We start from the raw sequence: 26,067 nt of genomic DNA, 5'->3' as shown, positions 1-26,067 counted from the left end.
GGTTGAAAATTCTTTTCTTTAAGAATGTTGAATGTTGGCCCCCACTCTCTTCTGGCTTGTAGAGTTTCTGCCGAGAGATCCCCTGTTAGTCTGATGGGCTTCCCTTTGTGGGCAACCCGACCTTTCCCTCTGGCTGCCCTTAACATTTTTTCCTTCATTTCAACTTTGGTGAATCTGACAATTATGTGTCTTGGAGTTGTTCTTCTCGAGGAGTATCTTTGTGGCATTCTCTGTATTTCCTGAATCTGAATGTTGGCCTGCCTTGCTAGATTGGGGAAGTTCTCCTGGATAATATCCTGCAGAGTGTTTTCCAACTTGGTTCCATTCTCCCCGTCACTTTCAGGTACACCAATCAGAGGTAGATTTGGTCTTTTCACATAGTCCCATATTTCTTGGAGGCTTTGTTCATTTCTTTTTATTCTTTTTTCTCTAAACTTCCCTTCTCGCTTCATTTCATTCATTTCGTCTTCCATCACTGATACCCTTTCTTCCAGTTGATCGCATCGGCTCCTGAGGCTTCTGCATTCTTCATGTAGTTCTCAAGCCTTGGCTTTCAGCTCCTTCAGCTCCTTTAAGGACTTTTCTGCATTGGTTATTCTAGTTATCCATTTGTCTAATTTTTTTTCAAGGTTTCTAACTTCTTTGACATTGGTTTGAATTTCCTCCTGTAGCTCGGAGTTGTTTGATCATCTGAAGCCTTCTTCTCTCAACTCGTCAAAGTCATTCTCCATCCAGCTTTGTTCCGTTGCTGGTGAGGAGCTGCGTTCCTTTGGAGGAGGAGAGGCGCTCTGCTTTTTAGAGTTTCCAGTTTTTCTGCTCTGTTTTTTCCCCATCTTTGTGGTTTTACCTACTTTTGGTCTTTGATGATGGTGACGTACAGATGGGTTTTGGTGTGGACGTCCTTTCTGTTTGTTAGTTTTCCTTCTAACAGACAGGACCCTCAGCTGCAGGTCTGTTGGAGTTTGCTAGAGGTCCACTCCAGACCCTTTTTGCCTGGGTGTCAGCAGCAGTGGCTGCAGAACAGCAGTGGCTGTAGAACAGCGGATTTTGGTGACCCACAAATGCTGCTGCCGGATCGTTCCTCTGGAAGTTTTGTCTCAGAGGAGTACCTGGCCATGTGAGGTGTCAGTCTGCCCCTACTGGGGGGTGCCTCCCAGTTAGGCTGCTCAGGGGTCAGGGACCCACTTGAGGAGGCAGTCTGCCCGTTCTCAGATCTCCAGCTGCGTGCTGGGAGAACCACTACTCTCTTCAAAGCCGTCAGACAGGGACATTTAAGTCTGCAGAGGTTACTGCTGTCTTTTTGTTTGTCTGTGCCCTGCCCCCAGAGGTGGAGCCTACAGAGGCAAGCAGACCTCCTTGAGCTGTGGTGGGCTCCACCCAGTTCGAGCTTCCCGGCTGCTTTGTTTACCTAATCAAGCCTGGGCAATGGCAGGTGCCCCTCCCCCAGCCTCGCTGCCGCCTTGCAGTTTGAACTCAGACTGCTGTGCTAGCAATCAGTGAGACTCCGTGGGCGTAGGAACCTCCGAGCCATGTGCGGGATATAATCTCCTGGTGTGCCGTTTTTTAAGCCCGTTGGAAAAGCGCAGTATTAGGGTGGGAGTGACCCGATTTTCCAGGTGCTGTCTGTCACCCCTTTCTTTGACTAGAAAAGGGAACTCCCTGACCCCTTGTGCTTCCCAAGTGAGGCAGTGCCTCGCCCAGCTTTGGCTCGCGCACGGTGCGCTGCACCCACTGTCCTGCACCCACTGTCTGGTACTCCCTAGTGAGATGAACCTGGTACCTCAGATGGAAATGCAGAAATCACCCGTCTTCTGTGTCGCTCACCCATTCCTTTTTATTGTCAAACAATATTCCACTGCATGTGGATACTATAATACCACCTTTGGTTTATCTATCAGTTGATGGACATCTGTGTTGTTTCCCACTTTTTGGCTATTATGAGTAATGCTGCTATGAATATTCATGTACAAGTTTTCGTGTGGACAGATAGTTTCAATTCTCTTGGGTATATACTAGGAAGGATCTGGTGAGTCCCAGATAACTACGTTTAACATTTCGAGGCACTGCCAAACTATTCTCCTCAGTGGCCATGCCATTTTATGTTCCCACCAGCAACGTATGCTAAGAACCCCTGATTCCTTGTTGGGCATACTGAGCCTGGAAGAAGGCCAACTTTCCAGCTTCCCTTGTAGTTGCGTGTGGCAATGTGACTAAGCTCTGGCTTATGGAATGGGATGTAAGCAGAAGTTCTGTGTGCAATTTCTGCTGGAAATGTGTCCTTCTTTGTTGCTTTCTCCAACCTGCTGATTGAAATTTGACTAGATGACTGGAAAGCCAACAGCCATCCTGGGCCATGGAGTGACTTTGGTTAGGGAAGCCAGAGAGGACAGGAGAAGGCATCTGTCTCTGACACTGTGACGGGCCACACTAGCCCTGGGCTGATCACCTCTGGACTTCTTGAATACAGGAGAGAAATAAAATCTTACCATGTTTTAGACACTATTATTATTTTTTCTTATTAGATACAGCCAAATCTAACCCTAATTGAAACAGTTACCGAATTCCTTTACTCACTGAGTAAATTTTTACTGAAAGTCAATTAACAGCCAGGTTCTAGGCAACCTACAGAATGGGTGAGAATTTTTGCAATCTATCCATCTGACAGAGGGCTAATATCCAGAATCTACAAGGCACTTAAACAAATTTACAAGAAAAAGCAAACAACCCCATCAAAAAGTGGGCAAAGGATATGAACAGACAGTTCTCAAAAGAAGACATTTATGTGGCCAACAAACATATGAAAAAAAGCTCATCATCACTGGTGATTACAGAAATGCAAATCAAAACCACAATGAGATACCATCCCCTGCCAGTTAGAATGGCAATTATTAAAAAGTCAGGAAACAACAGATGCTGGCAAGTCTGTGGAGAAATAGGAACACTTTCACACTGTTGGTAAGAGTGTAAATTAGTTCAACCATTGTGGAAGACAGTGTGGCGATTCCTCAAGGATCTAGAACCAGAAATATCATTTGACCCAGCAATCCCATTACTGGGTATATACCCAAAAGATTATAAATCATTCTACTGTAAAGACACATGCACACTTATGTTTATTGCAGCACTATTTACAATAGCGAAGACTTGGAACCAATCCAAATGCCCATTAATGATAGACTGGATTAAAAAAATGTGGCACATATACACCATGGAATACTATGCAGCCATAAAAAAGAATGAGTTCATGTCCTTTGCAGGGACATGGATAAAGCTGGAAGCCATCATTCTCAGCAAACTAACACAGGAACAGAAAAACCAAACACCGCATGTTCTCACTCATCAGTGGGAGTTGAACAATGAGAACACATGGACACAGGGAGGGGAACATCACACACCGGGGCCTGTTGGAGGGTGAGGGACAAGGGAAGGGAGAGCATCAGGACAAATACCTAATGCATGCGGGGCTTAAAACCTAGATGACAGGTTGACAGGTGCAGCAAACCACCATGGCACATGTATACCTATGTAACAAACCTGCACGTTCTGCACATGTATCCCAGAACTTAAAGTAAAATAAAAAAAAAAAAAGTCAGGTTTTGAGGTTGGTGCTAAAGAAATAAAGATACATGAGATAAGGGCCTTATAATATAAGGGCTCACTGTTCAGTCCAGAAAGATAAGCACATTAGATAAATAAGATAATGGCATAAGTGCTAATAAGAGCATGTACCAAGTCCCATATGTGGATGGAGGAAAGACAGATGAAATCAATTTTAAGCAACCTAGAGAAGGTCTTAGTTTAGCCTATGTGCCCCCACTAGGAGTTTCTAAATTCCCAACAGATATCATTCTTTGGGATTTGGGAATAAGAAATCAGATTTCCTGGAAAATCTGAGGAATTCTTAAATCATAAGCTATTCTTAATACAATTCTAATATCATATACTATTTACTTGTTACTATGAATATAGGCAAACTCATAAATAAAAACTAATAAATTTAGTAGTATTTATGAAGAACTGTTGCCTGTACTGAACATTCAAACACTGGGAAATGATAGTGAACATTATTGGGTGGCATTTGAAATACATTTCTCCTAGCACAGTAGAAGCACTACACAGATTCTTTTTTTTTTTTTTTTTTCTTGAGACAGAGTCTCACTCTGTTGCCCAGGCTGGAGGGCAGTAGCATCAACTCAGCTCACTGAGACCTCCACCTCCCAAGTTCAAGCGATTCTCCTGCTTCAGCCTCCTGAGTAGATGGGATTACAGGTGCCCACTACTATGCCCAGCTAATTATTGTGTTTTTAGTAGAGACAGGGTTTCACCACGTTGGCCAGGGTGGTCTCGAACTCCTGACCTCAAATGATCCGCCCTCCTCAACCTCCCAAAGTGCTGGGATGACAGGTGTGAGCCGCCATGCCCGGCCAAGGATGCATTTTTCTTCAAGAGCTTGTTACTTCTTGGAACGCTTCTCAAAATATTTACATAAGGTATAACATATATATAAACCTACTAATATGTATTTTATTTACTTTTGCAATAACTCACCATAGGCAGCAGACAGGGACACAAACACACAAACATGGCAACAGTTACAGGCAAGATTGACTGATTAGATCGTGGTTACCTTTCTCCTACACACTCCTGTCCTGTGCATCGTCCCCTGTCAGGACACTCATTCCAGAAATGTTGACCTTAGCCTATGACTCCTTTACATGTGCTCCCTGTGTCATGTGGATTGTCCTCTACTGGAACACTCCTGTTTTTAATCGTCTGCCATTAGTAGATGGGAATCTCCCTTGAAGGGCAGCAAGTCCATGTTTCTTTTACGTTATTAAACCTGCAGTGCCTACCTCGGTGCTTGGAACAAAGTACATGCTTCATTAATATGCATAGAACTGAATTTCATTGACCACAGAAGCGATATTTAAGCACAGCTTTAGAAGATGAATTTGTTAAGAGACCCATGGAGGAAGGGGATTTGAGGCTGATGGAAACAATCTCTGCAAAGACACAGGCATGGGAAACTACATTTTCAAGGACTACAGGGAACTTTGTAAGGCACGTGTACAAAAGGTCATGGCAGAAGATGATGGCAGCACAGTAATCAAGCAGGGGTTTGTGAATCCTGCTAAGGAATGCAGACATTATACTGTAGGCAATAAGGAGCACTGAAGGAAGCCTTGGAAGAGGCTGGAGTTAGAAACATATTCCACAGGTTTGAATCCCACCTCTGAAATTAGCTAACTGTGGGCAAGTTCTTTAAGCTTTCCAGGCCTCAATTTCCTCATCTTTAAACTGGGGATTATAACAGCAAATAACCAATGAGGTTTTGAATAATTTTAGGAGATAATGCAGGTAAAATCCTTAGTATAGTACCTGGCACATAGTAATAGTTCAATAAGTAAGTGTCTGTTTGCAATTATTGTTATTCCTCTTATTATCACCAAAGATTTTAAATAGCGGAGTGGCAGGATCAAATTTGTATCCTGAGTGAAAGTCAAAGGCCAGTCGCCACCATGAGATGAATACTTGAGAACTGACGAGCTTTTTTCTCCCCTTCATTGTTTTCCATGGTGATCTCTCAGGCGTGAAGGACTCCAAACCTCCTTGGAGGTCATGAATTTCCTCTCTGTTTCCATGGACTGGCTACAGGGAGCAATGAGAGGACAAATGAGAGGACAGTCTCATTTGTCTCATAAAGCAAATGAGAGGACAGTCGGTGATACAGAACCTGAGTCACAAGTTTTGGGTGGAGAGAACAGGATTGAATGCTGCCATTCAACAAGCATTTGAAAAGCATTATGGGAGGCCGAGATGGGTGGATCATGAGGTCAGGAGTTCAAGACCAGCGTGGCCAAGATGCTGAAACCCCGTCTCTACTAAAAATACAAAAATTAGCTGGGCGTGGTGGTGGGCGCCTGTAATCCCAGCTATTCAGGAGGCTGAGGCAGGAGAATTGCTTGAACCCTAGGTGGCAGAGGTTGCAGTGAGCTGAGATGGCACCACTGCACTGCAGCCTGGGCGACAGAGTAAGACTCCATCTCAAAAATAAATAAATAAATAAATAAATATTAAAAAAAATTTAAAAAAAAAGAAAGAAAAGGAAAGGAAAGCATTTGTTGTGAGTCAGACACTATGTAGGCACCTGGGAGGTAAAAGGACAGGAATCCTAGGTTTGGGTAGTCTGAAGCTTCCTACTGAGCAGGCTTCCTTCTTCTCTTTGGGTACAGTGGGCAGAGCCCTGGCATTTAGAATTTGGGCCCTGTCACATCATTTGTTTGAGCCTCAGTTGTAACGTTTATCAAATGAGGATACTAATACTTATGCCTCACCTTCCTGTGCTCCAAGATGACTATTTTATGCCATCTCCTCTCTCCTCAAACCTTCAATACCATCTGACCATTATTGCTTTGAGCCGATGGCCTTGCTTCTTATCTCACTGAGAAAAATAAAAGCAATCAGAATAGAACGCCTTCATTCCTCCCATTTAATCTACCAACCTACTGTTCTTGTATCACTATGAACGTACTGTCCTTGCTTCTATCTAAGGCCATCCCTATCCCTTGTGATTTGTTTTTTGCATTTTTTTTTAAAGAGTCTCACTCTGTCACCCAGGCTGGAGTGCAGTGGTGCAATCTTGGCTTACTGCAACCTCTGCCTCCTGGGTTCAAGCGATTATCTTGCCTCAGCCTCCTAAGTAGCTGGGACTACAGGTGCTCACACGCATGCTCGACTAATTTTTGTATTTTCAGGAGAGACAGGGTTTCACCATGGTGGTCTTGAACTCCTGGCCTCAAGTGATCGACTTGCCTCAGCCTCCCAAGCCTATCACTTGTGATTTGGATTCTACTCCTTTTTGTCTGTTCAAGGACTTTGTTCTTGCAATTGTCACCTCTCTCTCATATCTTTAGCTTTTCCCCCACTCTACTGGATCATTCTCATCAGCATATAAATAATCTAAGAAATCCAATCTCTTTCAGACTTTTATGTTTTCTTTAAGCCAGTTGGAGTTAGGTTTCTGTGATTTGCCACTTAAAAAGTCTTGACTAATACAGGACATAGAGACAGGTGTGTATGGAAACAACTTGTGATTGGTAATGCCATTCTCATATCATAGGGAAGTAAACTGAAGCTCAGAAAGATTAAATACCTTGCCTAAAGTCTACAACTTTTCTATTTTAAAACAAGCAAACAAACCAAAAACCTCCCTTTTTTTAAATCATCCCCTGCAGTCACTTCCCCTTCAACCACTTCCCTTTATTGAAAAACCTCTTGAAAGAATTGTCTTTGTATTCCCACCATTGCTCTTGAACAGACACCATCTTGCTTTCAAATAAAATTGCTCTTATCAAAGTCTCTTACCAAATTCACCGAATGACCTTCCTATTGGCAAATTTAAAGGTCAATTTCTGGTCTTTATTCTTACTTGATCTCTTAGCTGCATTTGACATTGTGGATCAATTCATTTTTGAAACCTTTTGTCCCCTGGCTTTTAGTATAGTAGTGCCTCCAAGTTTCCCATTCATAGGGCTTCTAGGGTGGTCTATTAGTCTCCTGATATTCCTCCTACACCATTAGCTGCTGGATCTTGCTTGGGCCTCAATCCACCAAGCTTTCCTCTTTCCTTTCTGTATTAGATTCCTAAGAAATCTCATCTACTCTTTTGGTTTAAATAACGTCCCCATGTTGGTGAACTCATGGATTTATACCTTCAGCCCCAGTCTCCTCCTAAACTTGAGTGGTATATACAAGTACCCACATGAAACCTCCACTTGATTGCCTAACGGGCATCTCAATCACAACAGCCTGAACAGCACTATTGATGCGCCACCACCAACAACCTGCTTCTCCCCAGGGTTTTCTGTCTCAGTAAATCACAGGACCATTTGCCCAATGGCTTTCCCACTTTCTCTCACATACTACATCCAGCATATCCTGTCAGTTCTACTTTCAAAATATGTTCAGACTTCAACTACCTCCCAACATTTCCATACCCTCGACTTTGACCTATATCTCTCAAATCTCTTGCTTGAAGGATTGCAAAAGCCTCTTCAGAACCCAGAGATAGTCTTTAAAAATGTAAATCAGACCCTGTCATTCAGTTGCTCATATTTACAGTGGCTTCCTGCCATATCAAGAGCAACACCCAAAGTCCTTCCCCATGGACTCAGCGTCCTCTGTGAGCCAGTGATTGGCATCTCTTCAACCTCATCTCCTCCCACTCTTTCCCGCCTCGCTGTCCTTAGCCACATTGGCCTTTCTGCTCCTCCTCAAAGAGGAGCAAGCCTCAGGGCCCTCACACTTGTTCTTTCCTTCGGGCTGGGCTTCCCTGATTCAATTCTCAGCTCAACAGTTGCACACCTCAAAGAATCCTTTCCACTTCCCATGATCCTCTATTCCTTTACTAAAGGTTATCATACACTTATCAACTTGTATTTGTTTCTTATTATTTCCTCCATTAGAATATAAACTCCATTAGGGCAAGGACTACTTTTTGCTTCAGCCTATATCCTCAGCTTCTAGAGAAGAGTCTAACACACAGTCGGTGCTACCTAGTGAATGATTAACGGCAAAAGCAGCATTGTGCTATCAAATGAAATGAGATTCATGAAAACATTTTTTAAACTCTGGAGTATCAATCATGTATAAGTTATAATAACACATTATAGTTTAGTAAGTATTTATCAAGCAACTGCTTTTGTGCTAGGTAATGTACTAGGCACTCTAATTACAGAAATAAATAAGACCAAGTTCCTACCCATTCTAGCTGGAAGGTTGGAGGTGGAAACAAAGAGAGGTAAGTGTTATTCTAGAATTATCTCGGCAAGTGCTACTGAAGCACACTCAAGGAAAGGAAAATGTATTCTGCTTGGGGGGACAGGAGTAAATGAAGACTTCATCAAAAAAGTCACATTAAACTGGGATTTGATGATTGTGGTTGGGTTTGTCAGACAAGAGGCAGGAGAAAGGGCTTGACTGGCAGAGGAAAGAATCTCAATGCGTGTGCCCTATCATGCAGTTTGCTAAGCATCTCCCAAAACAGCTGCCTTCTTCACTCCTGCCTTTCTCTCTTACTCCTGAAGCCCCAGGCCTTCTCTGACCTGGCCATCCTGGGTCCTTTTTTTGTGTCTCACTGTGTCCTTTTCCCCACTGGCCTTCAATGGGTCACAGGTTACACCTCCATATAATTCATCCTCTCTCTCTTCAGACATCACGACAACTCCAGACTGTCCATCTTTATACTTCCTGTCACCAACTTCACAGCTGACCAGGGATTTCAGAGACAGTGGGGTGGATTTCTAAAATCCACCTGCATAATAGTTTAATAGGAACAGATATATACTCTTTAATGAAACATTTTTAAATGTTCATGTTGACATAAAAATTCCTCTTATGTAGTTTCTCACAGATTATCAAAGGAGAGGATATTTGCCTTCAGAATTTAAATGAGAATCAAACAAGTGGGAGACAGTGCTTAACACTGAGCAGTCTATATTTAATACATGAATGAATGATTGGATGAATTAACAAATGAGATAAATTAAAACCATTTATGCATGTGTTGTATTTCCAGATCTACTTTTGTAACTTAGTTGTTTTGAATTTGGGATAGATTTTCCCATAGAAACAATGTTGTAAACAGTTCTTAAGTTCCAAGAAATCCCACTAAGGCTGTTTAGCCCATAATGTAGCAAGAAAATGCAGAAAAGTAATGGGATAGCTTAAACAATTTTTGAATGTTGAATACTAGTATTTGAAGAAAAGTAACTTTAATTAGAAGATGAGGTGGTACATGAAAAATGCTGTGATTCCCAAGGGGCTGTCTGAGCCCTTTCAAGGGTTCTGAGGGCACTAACTTCTTGTAATGCATATTTTCAAATTAAAATGTGCACATTTATTTCCCTGGGTATAATACTATCCTTGTACTGTTCTCGCAATCAGGATGAAGGAAGAGCATGAGTCTGGCCGTGAGGAATTAGATTTCAGTGAGAAGAGAGTCTGGGACACTGGATGAGGTAAAATGAACTGAATGGCAGGCGGTATAAAATAGAGGAAAGGGAAGAAATATGGTGTGAGCATGATTCCACCTATAGGGAAGACAAGAGTATGGTGGAGGCAAGAAAGAATAGGGAAGAAAGAATACTGTGGAGGAAAATATGGTAGATGGAGGCCATAAAATGGTTCAGGTCAGGTTGGCGCTGGCCAGACCAAGGGAATAATGGCCTTGGAGTTTTCAAGTGATCAGGCAGCATGCTACTATACTAGACTGTCAGAGGTGTCAGCAATGCAGATTGGGTCTTGATATACCTAAGAGGTCTCTGCAGAATGCAGAATTTATATATTACCATATCCCCTCTGTTGATTTTGGTGACACACATACTGCATGATTTTTTTTTTTTTTTTTGAGACGGAGTCTTGCTCTGTTGCCCAGGCTGGAGTGCAGTGGTGCCCTCTCGGCTCACTGAAACCTCTGCCTCCCGGGTTCAAGTGATTCTTCTGCCTCAGCCTCCCGAGTAGCTGGGATTACAGGCGCATGCCACCACGCCCGGCTAATTTTTGTATTTTTAGTAGAGACGGGGTTTCAGCATCTTGGCCAGACTGGTCTTGAACTCCTGACCTCGTGATCCACCCATCTCGGCCTCCCAAAGTGCTGGGATTACAGGCGTGAACCACCACGCCCGGCCAGTCTTATTAACTTCTAAAGAAGGAACTTCAGAAACCCTTGCCTTCCGTGTAAAAAGGTGTCACGTTCCACTTGCCAGTCTTCTTCCATCCCTCTCCCTTCCTTCTTTTCTTCCTCTGGCGTTTACTAACTGACCCTGGGCAGACCACTTATTTCTCTGGGTCCCATTTTCTCATCTCTAAATGACAACACTGGAACCTAGATTATCTAGCCCTTCCAATTCTAAACATTTGATTATGAAATTCTCCAAAATCACAAAACATAAACCAGGAGGACGAGACCTAATTATGACCACATCAAATAGCTGTGGTTTCCAAAGTGGTTATTTCTGATTATCACAGACGAGTCAGTTATCCAGCTTTTCTCCTCTTTTCTTTGTTCCCATAGCATAGGCGACCTCTTTGCTCTCAGAGCTGTTTCAGGGGCGTCGAAATTTATCTAGAAAAAGTGGTGTGGGAAGTGTGGGTTTTTCCTTCCATTAAAAGAAAAAATCTGTTCGCTCCTTCAACTCAAAAGGCTTTCTGGGTAGCCATAAGCAGATAAAACCTTATCTTTCTACCCTCGAGTTCCTCTTTTGGACTTCATATGCATTGACTTGACGGACCTTCAGCACAGAGAACAAACACCCGAAGGGTTCCCTCAGCAACGGGACTGGCACCCAGAGCCCCCCGCTCCCCGCGAGCCGGCGAGCGCAGGCGGAAGCGCGGGCGCCACATTTCCGGTGTCGGGACCGGAGCTCACCACACTTCCGGTTTCCCTGCCGGGCGCGCCACACTTCCTGTTGATCCGGCTCGGCCGGGGGCTGGGCCGGCGGGCAGGCGGCGGCGGCCACTGGCCAGGCGTGGACGCGCGCGGGGCCGCCGCGGGCACGGAGTGGCCGCCGCGTCGCCTGAGCCCAGAGCCGGGGAGTGCTCTCGGCCGCCGCGTCTCCTGCCCTCTGTCCTTCCAACCCAGCCCTCGGCTGAGCCGCGCCGCACCATGCCCGCCGTGGACAAGCTCCTGCTAGAGGAGGCGTTGCAGGACAGCCCCCAGGTACCTCCCGCCGCTCCGGTGCCCCTCGCCCGCAGGGGTGAGGCCGAGGAGGCCCCTCCAGCCCCGGAGTGGAGGCCGCGCCCCCGGCCGGGCAGCCGCGGGAGTGCGCCCGGCCCCCTCGCGGCGCCTCCCACCGGGTTCTCTCGGGCTGAGGAGGGGGCGGGCCGGGCCCTGAGTCCTGAGCCGGGGCAGAGCTGTGGAACAGGGGAGAGAGCCCCGCGGCCGGAGTCTTGATGTCGTGACCCCCCTGCAAGCTCAGCTGCAACTGAGTCTGCGAGATCTAAACTTTGATTCCATGTAGTAGCTGAGTGCCTCAGGAAAACCACCTTATTGTGCCTTAGTTTTGTCGTCTGTAAAATAGGAATAATAATTGTGCCTGCTTCATAGGGTTGTTAGGAGAAGTCAATGAGAAATACCTGTAAAGTTGTCAGCAGACAATGTCCGGTACAGATAATGAGTCAGTCTTATTACTGCTACTCCTAATGATGTGATGAGACTTGTGCCAGCCAGAATGAGAGGCAGAGGGCCTGGATCTCTTTTCCGGCGGTACCAGGCCTCCTTTTGGCACCGTTTTCCCATTAGTGAAGAGAAAAATACAGTACCTGCCCCATTTGTCGCACAAGGGAACTTCATTAGCACACTCGAGATGAGAGTCAAGTCCTTTGAGCTCTGCAGATGAAAACTGGTGTGTAAATATAGCAAATGAGTGCAGGATGACATTAGTTCATAATTCAGCACATCTTTCCCCAGGGGTCTTTTGTTCTCCTTTGTTTAACATTTCTCCAGCTTCGTACCTACACTCCTGGTTCAGCATCCCGGGTTTATTTAAATAAGTGCCTTTATTTCCTAGTGTCTCAACTCTTGAAAACTTAGAATAAGATTAACCTATTTTCGTTTCACACTTTCCCCTCTCTTTTGGGGTTCCTTCCCTTTTTCTTCTAAGTGAATAATACTTCCCAGGATGATCCTTGTATGGATTTACCTACATCGACAGTTCAGAATAAGTCCGAAGGGCTGTATGCATAGGTGTCTTTTGTTCATTTTTTGTGATCCTCCTAGTGTAGATAAGTAAGGAACTGGAAGCAAGCTGTGTGTGTGTTTTTTGTTTGTTTGTTTTGTTTTTTGGTAAGTTTGCATCCTCTGGACGACTTTTTCAAGGCCTCCCTTTTTTATATGGCTGTAGACTCCTGGCATTTTAATCAGACTAAAGCCCTTGGTAGAAGGCATTTTGTCCATGTTCATATCTGTTGTGTGGAATCTGAAGATAGCAATGTGAGATTTTAAATGATCACTTTGAACAAGGATCTCTGTTTGCCTTGCACTTATGGAAACTGAGGTGCACAGAAATATCCTGCTTTTCTAACCTACATGGTGATGCCTAAGCCAGGTTACAGTGATTATACTAACTGATTCTTGATGTTGTCCTCACAAACAGATCATATTCTTAATTTCCAGCTCTAACATAAAGGAATATACACTGTTTGTGAGTGGCTTAAAGGATTTGCCCAGCTGTGAGGAAGTAGACAGGACTGTAGAGCAAGTCAGGAGACCTGGGTTCTAATTCTGGCTCTCACGCTCACTTAGGATGTGATGTGGGTGAGTCTCTTCATCTCCACCCTGTAGCTGGCTCAGTTTCCTAATCTACAGAACATCTACAGAATGAGAGACAGGGAGGGAGCAGGTGATCTTCAAGGTGCTTTAGAGTTAACATTGTCATATCTACATGGTGTATAACTTTGAACTTGTATGTGGCAGAGGAGGTTTAGAGATATTATCATTCTTATTTAATATGTTCCTTTTAATATAGGAAGTTTATTTGTCATTGCTTTTGAGACTTGGCCATCACCCTTAAGAGGGCTCTTGATGGTGCTGTTGTGCAGAATGGAAGCTGACTTTAAGAAGGTCTTTAATGATCATCAGAGCATATTTATATACTACTCTCTTGTATGTGACCTGTGCCTAATGTAGCTTTACTCCCAAGGTGACTCCTAGACTTGGAACTGGAAGGAATCTAATCCATCCCCTTCATTTTATGTGCAAAGCATAAAAACAATAGCAAATGCCTGTTTCATGGATTTTATGTGCCAGGGACTCTTCTAAATGCTTTACATATATTAACTCACTCAATCCTCCCAATAGTCTTGAAGTACATTCTCTATTTAAATAACTAAGGAGCAGAGAAGTAATTTGCTTAGAATTATACACCATAAAGTGACAGAGCCAGGACTGGAACCCAGGCAACTTGCCTGTACTAGGGATATGGTTCAAGTTAGCCCAGCTATCTAGCACCGGGCTTTTCTGTCATCAGTGACCTAAAATGTTTCACTAAAAGGAAAAGATCCTAATAAACCATCTATTGTGTGTTTCTTCTAGTTTTATGAAGAGTAATTTTGAGAGTTGCTTCAGTAATGTGATTGCACAGGATGAATTAAATGAACACCAAAGCTTTTGTAATTGAACTGAGTGACCCAGGAAGAGCTGAATAGCAGTTAACTGACCTTAGACACATCTATTCATGGACTCCTTTTTAGTTTGCAGTGCTGCACGATGCATTGTAAAACTAGTCTGTGTGCATACACATGCGTTATTTCTGCTTACCTCTCATATGTGGGAAGCTGAACATTTTAGGGATTAAGAAATCTGCCTCCATTGTTGTTTAGAAGCCTCTGCTCCTTGCCTGGCACTACTGGCTGTTGGGAATGTGAAGATAAATAAGAGTGACTACCCTTGACTGGTTCACAGTTTGTTCCAGAGACAGATAATGAGGCAACAGTTCCAGTACAGTGTGAATCCTGCTGCGATAGGAACACAAATGCAGCTTTGAGCTCCTGCAGCTTGTACTTCTTCAGGGGCTTATTCTCTTGTCCTGTAAGTAGTACACTTTTGAGGTAAGGTGAAGACAACAGCACTGTTGCTTGCTCGGTTTGTGTTTTGTTTGTTTCTTTTGCGATTGGCATAACGGAACAAAGAAATAAAAGATGTAGTTCTGAGGTTATGCAGTTGAGTGGCCCGGCTGGGAGCAGCCCTCTCCAACCAAATCAGGCCTTTCTTTCCTCAAACAAGATAATCTCAAAACATAACCTGGTGGTTTTATATGTCTTCACTGTGGAGATGTTTTGTGCTGTTCCTCTTTTTGTTTATAACCTATTTTTCCTTTCAATAGACTTGGTTCTTTTTTTTTTTTTTTTTTTTTTTGAGACAGGGTCTCGCTTTGTTGCCCAGACTGGGGTGCAGTGGCATGAACACGGCTCACTGCAGCCTCAGCCTCCTGGGCTCAAGCGATCCTCCCACCTCAGCCTTCTGAGTAGCTAGGACTACAGGCATGCATCACCACGCATGGCTAATTTTTTAATTTTTGTAGAGACAGAGTCTTGCTGTGTTGCCCAGGGTGGTCTTGAACTCCTGGGCTCAACCAATCTTCCTGTCTTGGCCTCCCAAAGTCTTGGTTCTTTTCACTAGGACATTCTCTTCCTCCACCAAATTATGGAGATAAGAACTTTGTTTATAACCTTAAAATTTTCTCAGTAGTCAGTGGTGTTAACATTGGGCCACTACACAATTACACACACTATTCTTGAGAATGTCTAGGAGTGTTTTATTAGGTAATACCCAGTTTCTTTAAGGTAAAGGAGTGATAGGGAGCTGAGGCTGTGTGCATAGGGTGCTTGGATTTGTTTCTCTGGCCGAGCATACCCTTAAAAGTGTCGGGCAGTAGAAAATGGATGGAATTCCACTCCTGAATCTGCTACTGTTACTTTTGGCAAGTTACTCAATCTCTCTGAGGTTGTGTTTGGAGGTATGTAAAATAAAAATAAAAATAGCTATTTAGTTGAGTTGTTAGGAAGAACAAGTAACATATGTAAAGTGTCTCCATGCTGGCATGCCATAGTAACCCCATAAATGATTGCTGTTGTTATCTTTGTAAGTGAGATATACCAGTGTCTTTCTGACCGTGTCTTTCTGACCGTGGGATTTTGAGCTACTGGTGTGCCTTTGCTTTATTCTTGGTCTCATTCCTTCTTTATGTCTCAGAATATCTCTGTTGTTCCAAACCAAAGTTTGAGCAGACACAGTATAGTAAATGAGGATAGCCAGTGTCCAAGGTAGCTGGTTATATTTTTTCCAGAGGTGATCACTGCCAAGTTAAATTAAAAAGGGAAGACCAGAGTTTCCCTGTCAGTTCTAATGGGCATCACAGTTGCATTTCCACGATATAAGGAAAAAGGACACTTGTGATGTAGTTCTCTGGCAGGTATTGTGGGCGGGAACATGGTAGTAGCATCCAGCTCCAGTCTGCCCCTGTCCTGCCTCCAGTCAGGGCTGTACGCTGTGGACCAAAGATCATGCTCGCTGATGAGAGCCACCCTGCTGGTGACCTCAGTGCTGCCGACCCATTTACATCCCAGCCCTGCCACATTCCTACAGTGGGAGGTTGAACACATTTCTTAACCTTGATGAGCCTCAGTTTCATCATCAGTAAAATGAAGTTAATGGAACCATGGAATCTACCTTGGAGAGTTGCTAGAAGAATTAAATGAAGTCACATATGTTTAGTGCCCAGCACAGCGTCCAGCACATAGGTGGTACAGAGTAAGTGGTAATTTTAGTTTTCTTTCTACCCTCTTTGTGGAGGACATTCATGCAAACCCTCTCTTTCCCTTTTTACCTCTTTTCTTCCAGTCTGTTTTTATCCCTTAGAGTATTAAATGCAATAAACAGGATTTGGCTAAATGGACATAGTAGTATTTTTGAAAAAACTAGCCACAATCCAGTTATATCACTTCTCATTCTCCTGAATCAGTGTGTTTAACCTACTGGTTGACATCCATTAGTAGATTATGAAATCCAGTGGGTCACAACCACAATTTTTGTTTATAAATGGAATAGACTAAAATAGGAAAAAGCCACAATGTGTATGCATATTATCGATAAATATTGTTTGGGAAAACCTTTGTTCAGGTCCTGATGTATTTCATACTGTGATTATGAATTTTTGAAAGTTCAGAGAGCTCTTCTAACACAAATTATACACTGTACAAATTCTGTGTTGTTTTTCTTTCACTGAGAGCTTTTTTAAACATGATGTTACAATTTCCTTATTCATTATTGCACAGTGGCTCTTCTATGGATAAGCATTGGTACTGAAGACAGTACATTAGTCCTGGTGTTTTTAGCCCGGAAGACTGGGCAAAGCGGGATAAGCATGCATTGCTGTGAAGCGCATCAGAGTTTTGGAGCAGAGTCTGGGTAGAGCATGTGTGGTGGGAGGTAATGATCCCAATGCATAGGTTCTTATTCTAGTTTTTTGAGGGTGCTTTGGGGTCAGTTACTGTTCCTTTACCTGAAATAAGTTAGAAAAAGAAAAGGAGGAATTGCAATTTATTTGCAGGGAAATAATGAGCCTTAGTGAGTTGTATTTGGTAAAGTGCTTTGATATCACCTCAAAGGCATTCCTGAAATTATTCTTCATTCTATGCCTAATGGGTTATATTTTGAAGTTGTGATCCAATTATTGCTAACATAGTACTTTAAATTCCCACTGTGCTGGGCACATTAACGAAAATCCCTTGAGTAGATCTGCCTCTGTGCACCTTAATTCTTGTTCGTACACCATCCAGTATGTAAATATTTCTCTAGTGCTTTTTGTGTTCTGAGCACCGTGGATGAAAATGATAGGAAATGCCTTTCAGCTTATGACTTTGCTCAGCTGCTCTCTGAGCACTGAGGAGTTTGTCTTCCTAAAAACGGTAAACTAGCATTCTTATTAAGTTGCTATTTGAGTTTTATGTCCAGAGCTGCTGCTGGTGGGCCCAGGGGTTGTGAAATTTCTTGGCCGTGAGTTTGAAAATGGTTGAATAAAATATAATTAAAAACAAGCAGGCCAGGTGCGGTGGCTCACACCTGTAATCCTAGCATTTTGGGAGGCCATGGTGGGTGGATCACCTGAGGTCAAGAGTTTGAGACCAGCCTAGCCAACATGGTGAAACCCTGTCTCTACTAAAAATACAAAAAATTAGCCAGGTGTGGTGGTGGGTGCCTGTAATCCCAGCTACTCAGGAGGCTGAGGCAAGAGAATCCCTTGAGCCCGGGAAGCAGAGGTTGCAGTGAGCCGAGATCGCACCATTGCACTCCAGCCTGGGCAACAAGAGCGAAACTCCATCTCAAAAAAAGAAAGAAAGAAAGAAAAAGAAACAAGGAAATCGTAGTACCATAAGAGGAAAGAATGACACACTCCTACACTCCTGCAAGACATCCAAGATTACAAAAAACCAGACTGCTGGTTCCTGCTGGGATGATCACACTACAGCTGTGCTAGATGACCACACCCCAGGTACACAGATAGGCCTGACCTGTGTTTATCTTATGGACTTGAGAGGAGAGGCTGCCCTTTTAAACACTTTTTTTATTGGATAGACTTTACTGGTGCTTAGGTAGGGGCTAAAGTCAGAACAGATAATAGCCCTTCAGTCATAATCTTTTAAAAACTGGCTTTTCTGGCTCCAATTCTGAAATTGCCCTGACACTGTAGTCTAAAGGATTAGAAAGCGAGCTCTAAACCAGAGCTCCAGGAATCAAATGGTACTGGTACTATCAATAAAAGAAGCCAGGGAACCAACAGGTACCTTTCTTTCCTCGCATTCTGGTTTCTGCATGTGCGGGTGTGTGGATCTTCCTCCTCCTCTGTAACTTTTCCACTTAGAAATGAAATTGACCTTTTTTCTTCTTTTCTTCCAGACTCGCTCTTTACTGAGCGTGTTTGAAGAAGATGCTGGCACCCTCACAGACTATACCAACCAGCTGCTCCAGGCAATGCAGCGCGTCTATGGAGCCCAGGTATGCTGCCACCCCTCACCTGGATACCGCAGAGTGGGCATTCTCTCCCCTCATCCTGAACTTCCCTCAGAGGTTGAGAAATTGGAATCCGAAAAACATCATTTAAGATTTTGAAACAAAATCAGAACTGTTTTCTCACTACTTTTCACCTCAAAAACCTAAGGACAGTCTGTTCTCATTGCTTAAGAGTGATTTGTCTTTAATTAGAACCATTAGAGATGGGCCACATAACTGCTCCTAATTTTTTTTTTTAAATTCAACCCAGTGGGAAACATTTGAGTCTCCTCTTCCTACTTGTGAATAAGTGGGTCCAGTATTTTGACACATACTCTTTGTCTTTTTCATAAATGGGCAGAGTCTTAGATGTCAGTGTGGGAGGGCAGAGATGTTTTTTCAACTGCTTCCTCTGAAAAGACTTGAGTCACAGTTCTGAAACTATCGGGTGGCTTCTTTGTTTGTGGAACAAATATCTCTGGCTTGCAAAAGCATGCAAAAGAAATTGCTGAGTAGCAAAAGTGAATCTTTTTAATGTCAAGAAGTGCCCATGTATGTTGCTTTCTAAGAGAAGATTTATGAGTTACTTAAAAATAAAATGCTTTATGTTACAAAGCATTGAACACATCACAATATTATGGTAACTGATCATTTTCATTGTTGATTCCTTGCTGACTTAAATCTTATGTGTTGATATTTTTCTCATTAATAATCTCTTAAGGAATATAGATTGGGCATCCCAAATTTGAAAATCCAAAATCCGAAATGCTCCAAAATCTGTAACTTTTTGAGTGCTGACACGACACATAAACGAAATGCTCATTGGAGCATTTTGGAGTTTTGGATTTGGGAAGCTCGACTGATACAGCAAATACTTCAAAATCTGAAAAAATCCTAAATCCTTCTGGTCCCAAGCATTTCAGATGCAGGGTACTTAACCTATACCACATTCAGTAGTATATAGCTCTTACTAATATATATAGTCATTTCTTATTACATAGGTTCACCACTCTATTACTGCTCATTGTTTTATTAGTCATTTCCCATCATATGGGAATAAGACTCAGTCCTTGCCGTTGGGGAGCTGACAGTTGGGTTGGGAGGCAGACAAAGCAATCACCAGAGAGCCTTAGAGGGGCCAGGAGAGGAGAGCCACCTAACCTAGTGGGGTTGTGCTGGGCACGCAAAAGGAGGGTGATTGTAAGAGTTGAGATTTATTGAATACTTAATAGCATCCAGGAACTTCCAGGGGCTTTTATGTTGATTATTTTATTTAAATTCCCCTAACAACTCTGAGGTGGGTATTGTTATTGTTATTATGCCTATGGTATTGGTTGGGAGACTTAAGGATTCTGATGGTGAGAAACTTGTCCAGGTGCACCCATTTAATTCATGGCAGAGCAAATCAGCTGGAGCCAAGCTGAGACTCTTCACTCCTAAGCATAGGGGAGGTGGCAGTAGAAGTGGAAAGAAGCAGCTGTACTTGAGAGGTATTTAGGAGGTGGATTGGTGATTGATTGGGTATGAAGGGGTCAGGTGGTAAAGGATGAATCAAGAATGATGTTCAGGTATTCATCTGGAACGGCAGGGTGGATACATGGGAGAACACAGGAAGAGGCGCAGGGTGCGTATGAGTGTGTGTGCGTGCCTGTGAGTGCATATCTGTCATGGGGATGCCCAACTGTAATTCTCTCTGGAAACACTGATTTTGAGGAGTTCATGGGACATCAAAGTGGATAAAGAGATCTTGTTGAAAGTTCAGATCCAGAGTACAGGGCTGGAGATATAGATAGGCAAACTATGCAGTAAGGTATAAGTGTAACTTATTAATTAGAACTAGCTTTGGGCTGGCCTGTAATCCCAGCACTTGGGAGACCAAGACGGGAGGATTGCTTGAGGCCAGGAGTTTGAGACCAGCCTAGTCAATATAGTGAGGACCTGTATCTACACAAAATTTTTGTAAATATTAAAAAAAGGACTAGAGTCTTTTTTTTTTATTTTTAATTTTCAGAGACAGGGTCTTACTCTGTCACCCAGGATGGAGTACAGTGGCATGATTATACCTCACTGTAGCCTCTAACTCCACGGCTCAAGTAATCCTCCTGCCTCAGCCTCCTAAGTAGCTAGGACTACAGGTGCACACCACCACACCCAGCTAATTTTTTTTCTTTTTGATTTTTGGTAGAGATAAGGTCCTACTATGTTGCCCAGGCTGGTCTGAAACTCCTGGCCTCAAGTGATCTGTCTTAGCCTTCTGAGTAGCTAGAACTAGTTTTAATGACCAAAAGAATTATGTGTTCACCTGTGATTTTATGTGTTTTGTTAAGACATTCAGAATTTAGAGAAATGAGAACTTCGTCAATTTTTGTTTTTGTATTTTTCCCTAAATATTCTAGATTTAAGAAAACAGGAATGTTCTTACTGGGCTTATACCTGAAATTGCTTGCTATTCAGCAATTTGTATTTCGTCACTAAGTGATTTGTCTCTTATTTAAGGCTTAAAAACCCAAGACGTGAGAGACTGTGTCTCTGTCACTCTGAGGAGTCTCTGTTCTGCCTTTCGGTGTCTGTCAGAATCATCTACTTGGGGTTATCCAAACGCTGTCTCATGCATTTTTTTCTGTTGAGGCAGAAAACGACATTTTGCCAAAATTAAGTGGGTCTTTCCTTCCTAGAGGCTGTAACCCAGCTTTTAATGCGCAGCATATGATCATCACGTGGGTTCTCCTGCTGGCCAGAAACCCTTCCTCCTGCCTCAGCGTTTCCTGCAGCACAGGCTGGTGAGAATGTCTGGTTAGTGCTGCCAGATTCAAAGACAGAGTCAAGCAGTGATCAGCTGTGTTCAGATTGGCTGGGCCAAGGACACTTGGTTTTTCAGGTTTCTTTGAAAGCTTAGGTGTTTCGTTTTGTTTTTAATTGAAGAAAGAAATCTTTTCTGATTCCTGTTTTGATCTGTTTGTTTTCATATATATATTTTAAGATAGTATATTTCTCAGTGTTTTCATTCAAGTTTTTTCCCCTAAAGTTATGTTTTCTTGGTTTCATTGCACGTTATTCCATAAATATTTTATACCTAGGCATGTTGAATTTGATTGATAGTTTTATAATTTCCTTTGTAAAAACAGACTCTCCGCAAGATACAGTTTTTCATTATCATATTTTCAAAAGCAGGCTTACGCTGCTGATAAATGATAAGTGTTCATAAAAGATATTTTAATCAGACTACACGGTATATTTCTGGATGCTGATATTGCGAATGCCCTTCAGAGACCTTAGTTTTAGAAAGAGGAAGAACAAGAAAAACTAGAGGAAAACTTCTATGAGCAGTTTTGCTGATTGTGGCTAGTTTGGGGAAATTTTAAATTTTGTTTGTCTTAACCTCTAGAATGAAACTATAGGCTCTAAGCTGTTTTCAGCATCTTACAGTAGTCCCTGGAGTCACGTCTGGCAATAGTCCATTGTGGGTCCTTTGAATGAAAGTAGTAGTGTACCTTTCCAGTGCATTAACAGAGAAGAGCCTGGTTACTTAGAACAGTCTATTTTTCAAACTATTGGCTAAATAAGTTAAAAACTTCAGTTATGTCTAAATAGATGCATATGCATATATATTCAGTTAATTCTCAAATTTTGCATTCAACACATTTAATATTTATTTTCATTCTGCATCTCGGCCATAATATTCTTCTTTCCTAAAGAGGTTTAAAATTTTCTAATCTTTTAAAATGGATTTGTTAGGGGCTTACAGTGAAATTTATTTAGGTCATCTTGCTTCTCCTCTCAGCTGTTGTACTGAGAAAGTGGGGCCAGGGGTAATAATGTTCCTGGCAGGCAGGACAGGAAGGCTATCCCCAGCGGTATTCACGAAACCTGGCAACCCTTGTAACCTGGCATTCTCTTCCACCAGATGACAAACCTCTGTAGTTGCTACCTTCAGTTTGTATGAGATTTTTTGGTTTTGTTTTTGCTTTTTTTTTTTTAAGTAAATTTGGGATGGAATTTTTTTGAAATGAGAACCGTGATTAAGACTCTCACTTTCCTTCAGCAAAGCAGGTTTAATTTAACAGTTACATGTCTGCAGTCGTTCTTAACCAAAGCTTTCAGAATACAGAACTACTGATCCTGAAAGTTGATCTTAAAACTCCTGATCCTAGAAGCCCGAATTGGAGGTGGAAGTAGTATTTTCTCAAATTGGGGTAAAGACAGTGGGAGGGAATAGGAGTAAAGTATGCATAATTTGGTATATAAAGAAAAAAGTACTTTTCTTTAGAATGATGATATAGATAGCAAGCTAAACAAGTGAATGTACCGAGTGGGAAACCAGATGACAGTAGTGAGCATCCAGGAGTGTGAGTTTGTCATGGGGGAGGGAGAAGCACCTAGGAGGCAGATCAGGGTCACAGCTGCATGTTTTAAGAGTGAAAATAGTGGCCTTTCTTAGGCACATAAAAGTGCCACGCACTAGGCTGGCCACTCAGCTTTCACAACAGAGGGGAGGTATTTGTATAGTATGTGCTTACAGATGAGGAAGCTAAGACTCAGAGAAGTTAAGTAGCTTGCCTAAGGTCACACAGCTGATGAGTGGCAGAATTTTAAACCCAGATCTTTGACTGCAAAGCCTGCGTTCGCTCTTAACCACTATGCTTGCTCTCCTGACACGCTAGCCACCATTAATGGCAGCAGAGGCCAAAGAAGTGTAAGCTTTTAGAGGCTCCTCTTGTCATCATGGAAGAACCACCCTTGTTTATCAGCCCACAGCTTTGTAATACGCTAGAGGCAGGACCCAGTTCCTTTTTGTATCCCAGAATAACTTTCTTGGTTTCATTAGTTTTTATCCATAAATGTTCTAATCAGTGTGTTTTAGCAGCCCTGAAAACCAGTCACATTGAGGCTTATCTGACAGGGACTGAGAGGAGGTGCATATGTAGCTTAAGGTCGGAGGGAGCAGAGGGCGTGAATGGCTCTTGGTAATGACTTCTTAGACCTGGGTTCTGCACTTGGTCTGCAGCTTTCCCTCATGCTGGCATTGGTAGCTTTCAGATAGCAATCTAAAAGCTGTTGATTGCTTTTAGATTATTCTGGGTGAGGCTCACTCACTCAGGTACAGGAGTTAAGTGTGTGACCTTGGACTTCACAGATCTGAGTTCCAGTCTTGGCTCAGCCGCTTGCTGTGTAACCTTGGGCAGGTCGAGCCATCATCAGTTGATTGCCTGAGTTTCCTTATCAGCTAAACAAAGGCCATAAGAATACCCACCTCAGAGGGTTCTTGTGAGTTAATCATGTTAATACCTGTAAAATGCTAAGATCAGTCTCTGCTCACAGAGTGCTCTCAGTGTGAACAGAACCGTCTTCTGTTTTATGATAATAATAGTTGCAATAGCACTGTACACTGGCACTGCTATTTGGGTTAAATAGAAGTTTAGTCCTCTCATCCTTTCTTGAAGGAACAGCAGTATGTGCCATCTTTGGCTCCTCGCCAAACATCTGATATTTGTTCCTCAAGCCACCTCAGTCTGGTCTTGGCCTCCACTTTGCATGGGAGGCTGCTTAGTGCCTGGCTCACAGCCTCTCTCCACTCTGCCCATGGGCAACATCTGATTCTGTTAATAACACCCCCCTCGAAACTGTCTTCCATTGGCTCCTCTGACAGGCTGTCTCCTGGCCCCCTCCTGGGCTCTGCCCCTTGTTCTTGGTGGTTCCCTGAAGTCTTGGGGTCCTGCAGAATTCCTTTGGAATCCTTCTCTGGCGAGTCTGTGTTCACTCCCTGGGCAAGATCACTTTAGCAACTACCTGGCCATTTCTGAATCCTTTTCTGGCCCTTGCCACTTTCCAGACTCTGGGTCTTTATTCGAAACAACGTTTGCCTGTTGTTACTGTGCAGAGTTAGCTTTAGCTCTTCCCTGGGCGATTGCAGTTCCTGTCGTCAGGAAGACGTCTTCCCCTTTTCATTCTTCCTCCACACCGCAGCTGGATTACTTAAAACCTTCCCGTCACCTCCTCATCTTCAGACGCCTCCGTGGCTCTCTGTAACCACAAGGAAAAGGCATAAAGTCCTCAGCAAGGCATGCTAAATCCTTCATGAGCTGCATCTCAGCCTGCTCCTCTTGTCTTGTTGCTGGCTGTCCCAGAACATGCCAGACCTTTTGCACACCCTCCACTCTTGCTCTGCCACTCCTGCTGCCTGTTTCTTTATTAACCTGTTGCCCTGGCAGATGTCTTTCCTGGCCTCTGAGACTGACCGCAAGCCTGACAAAGTTTCTCTGACACCTTTTCTTCCTTCCTCCTCTCCCTTCCTGGCCGAAGTGCCATTGCCCTTCGCCAGTGTGCCCAAATGCCTTGTACACTTGTTGGTCAGAGCACTTAAGACATAATGACGGGGTTTCCTTGTCCCTTCATGGACTCTCAGCTCCCAGAGCTCAGAGTTAGATGTTGCCAGTGCCCTACACCATGTCTGGCCCCATTCAGTGTTTGGTAGGTAGCAGTCTGGCCCCATAGGTGTTGAATGAAGGACTGAATTTGGGACAGCTCCACCTAAAAGCAAGGACATCTCAACGGCACACTTTGTTGTCATTTCCAAATTCATATCCCCTCCTCAGTTCCTTGGCTGAAGGCACCGTTCTCCATCTGGCCTTCCACATGGGCAGCACAGTTCTTTCTGACTCCCCCGCCTTCCTCACTCACCACACCCTGCTGTTTCTGCCTCAGGAATACCTCCATGCCCCGCTCTGCACTGTCTGCCTCAGGCTCAGACACTTGTTTATCTCAGCTTCTCCAAGTGGCCTCCTGATCAGTCCCCCTCATCTATTCTCTCTCCCACTTCAGTGTTTTCTTCCCACCACCACCACTCCTGGTTTTCTTCCACCCGTGCCTGAGCTTCTCATACTCCTGCCTGAGTTCCTTGGTGCTTCCCCACTGCCGCTGGAATAAAGTCCAGGTCCAGCAGGCATCCCCCCGTGGCCTGCCTCGCATGAGACGCTCCAGCCGCGTTCTTGCCACACCCCTCACTACTCCCTGTGTGCATCCTGTCTCGAGGGGCTCCTGAACTAGTGCGACCCGTGACCGCCAGCTTTGTGATAAACACTGGGTACTGAATGTGACTAGGCAACATCTCCAGCCAAATAGTTGGTATAGATCGATGTGGATTTCCTCCACCCCACTCTCTAGCCTCTCCATTCATATTCACCGTGGATGCTGCTGCGCACAGAGGCCCTTGGGGGTTTCAGGTGACAGTTGCATTTAGTTAGCGTTCTGTGCTACAGAAAGATAAACATTCCTTTGCCAAATGCCCAGTTTTCCTTTCAGGCTTGCTAGCCACTTGATTTTCTGCCTTGGCAACAGCCCCGGGAGGTTCTGTTGAGCATGGGAGATGCTGTCAGCAAACCCTCCTCAGGGTGTCCTTTCAGGGCTTCTCACAAAGCGGTGCATAGTGTAGATGGCAGCCAGAGCGGCCCAGAGTGCCCAAAACAATGCTGCTCATGGAACTCCATTGAGAATTCCCACTTTAGCCCACGTCTTTTGCTCTT

At 43.6% G+C, this 26,067-nt stretch overlaps 1 protein-coding gene across 14 annotated transcripts in view, besides 6 other annotated features; it reads left to right on the top strand.

The window, feature by feature from the left end:
- Positions 1,354-1,855: an enhancer, noted in NCBI's record as "H3K4me1 hESC enhancer chr12:105639601-105640102 (GRCh37/hg19 assembly coordinates)". NCBI's record gives its function as "activates a minimal SCP1, AML or CMV promoter by ChIP-STARR-seq in naive H9 embryonic stem cells {active_cell/tissue: H9 hESC(naive)}" and the evidence as "EXISTENCE:reporter gene assay evidence [ECO:0000049][PMID:30033119]".
- Positions 11,121-11,621: an enhancer, noted in NCBI's record as "H3K27ac hESC enhancer chr12:105629835-105630335 (GRCh37/hg19 assembly coordinates)". NCBI's record gives its function as "activates a minimal SCP1, AML or CMV promoter by ChIP-STARR-seq in primed H9 embryonic stem cells {active_cell/tissue: H9 hESC(primed)}" and the evidence as "EXISTENCE:reporter gene assay evidence [ECO:0000049][PMID:30033119]".
- Positions 11,121-11,625: a biological region, named in NCBI's record as "H3K27ac hESC enhancer GRCh37_chr12:105629835-105630335".
- Positions 11,486-11,625: a silencer, noted in NCBI's record as "silent region_4808". NCBI's record gives its function as "represses an Ori minimal core promoter by ATAC-STARR-seq in GM12878 lymphoblastoid cells {active_cell/tissue: GM12878}" and the evidence as "EXISTENCE:reporter gene assay evidence [ECO:0000049][PMID:35858748]".
- The window catches only part of APPL2 (adaptor protein, phosphotyrosine interacting with PH domain and leucine zipper 2), a 62,875-nt gene continuing 48,311 nt past the window's right edge, over positions 11,504-26,067 (top strand). For 5 of the 14 annotated variants that reach the window (XM_017019554.2, NM_018171.5, XM_006719472.2 and 2 more), the window contains exons 1-2: positions 11,504-11,719; positions 18,455-18,553. In XM_017019554.2, coding sequence (XP_016875043.1) covers positions 11,666-11,719; positions 18,455-18,553 — 153 coding nt within the window. In that variant the 5' untranslated portion in view covers positions 11,504-11,665. Of the gene's footprint in view, positions 18,051-18,454; positions 18,554-26,067 lie in introns of all 14 variants that reach the window. The other 9 variants (XM_047429065.1, NM_001251905.2, XM_011538532.4 and 6 more) reach the window with 5 other exon arrangements.
- Positions 11,676-11,925: a silencer, noted in NCBI's record as "silent region_4807". NCBI's record gives its function as "represses an Ori minimal core promoter by ATAC-STARR-seq in GM12878 lymphoblastoid cells {active_cell/tissue: GM12878}" and the evidence as "EXISTENCE:reporter gene assay evidence [ECO:0000049][PMID:35858748]".
- Positions 18,911-19,000: a silencer, noted in NCBI's record as "silent region_4806". NCBI's record gives its function as "represses an Ori minimal core promoter by ATAC-STARR-seq in GM12878 lymphoblastoid cells {active_cell/tissue: GM12878}" and the evidence as "EXISTENCE:reporter gene assay evidence [ECO:0000049][PMID:35858748]".

Source organism: Homo sapiens, chromosome 12 (assembly GCF_000001405.40).
Source record: "Homo sapiens chromosome 12, GRCh38.p14 Primary Assembly".
Classification (NCBI taxonomy): Eukaryota; Metazoa; Chordata; class Mammalia; order Primates; family Hominidae; genus Homo; species Homo sapiens.
This window is presented reverse-complemented; position numbering and strand designations above follow the sequence as displayed.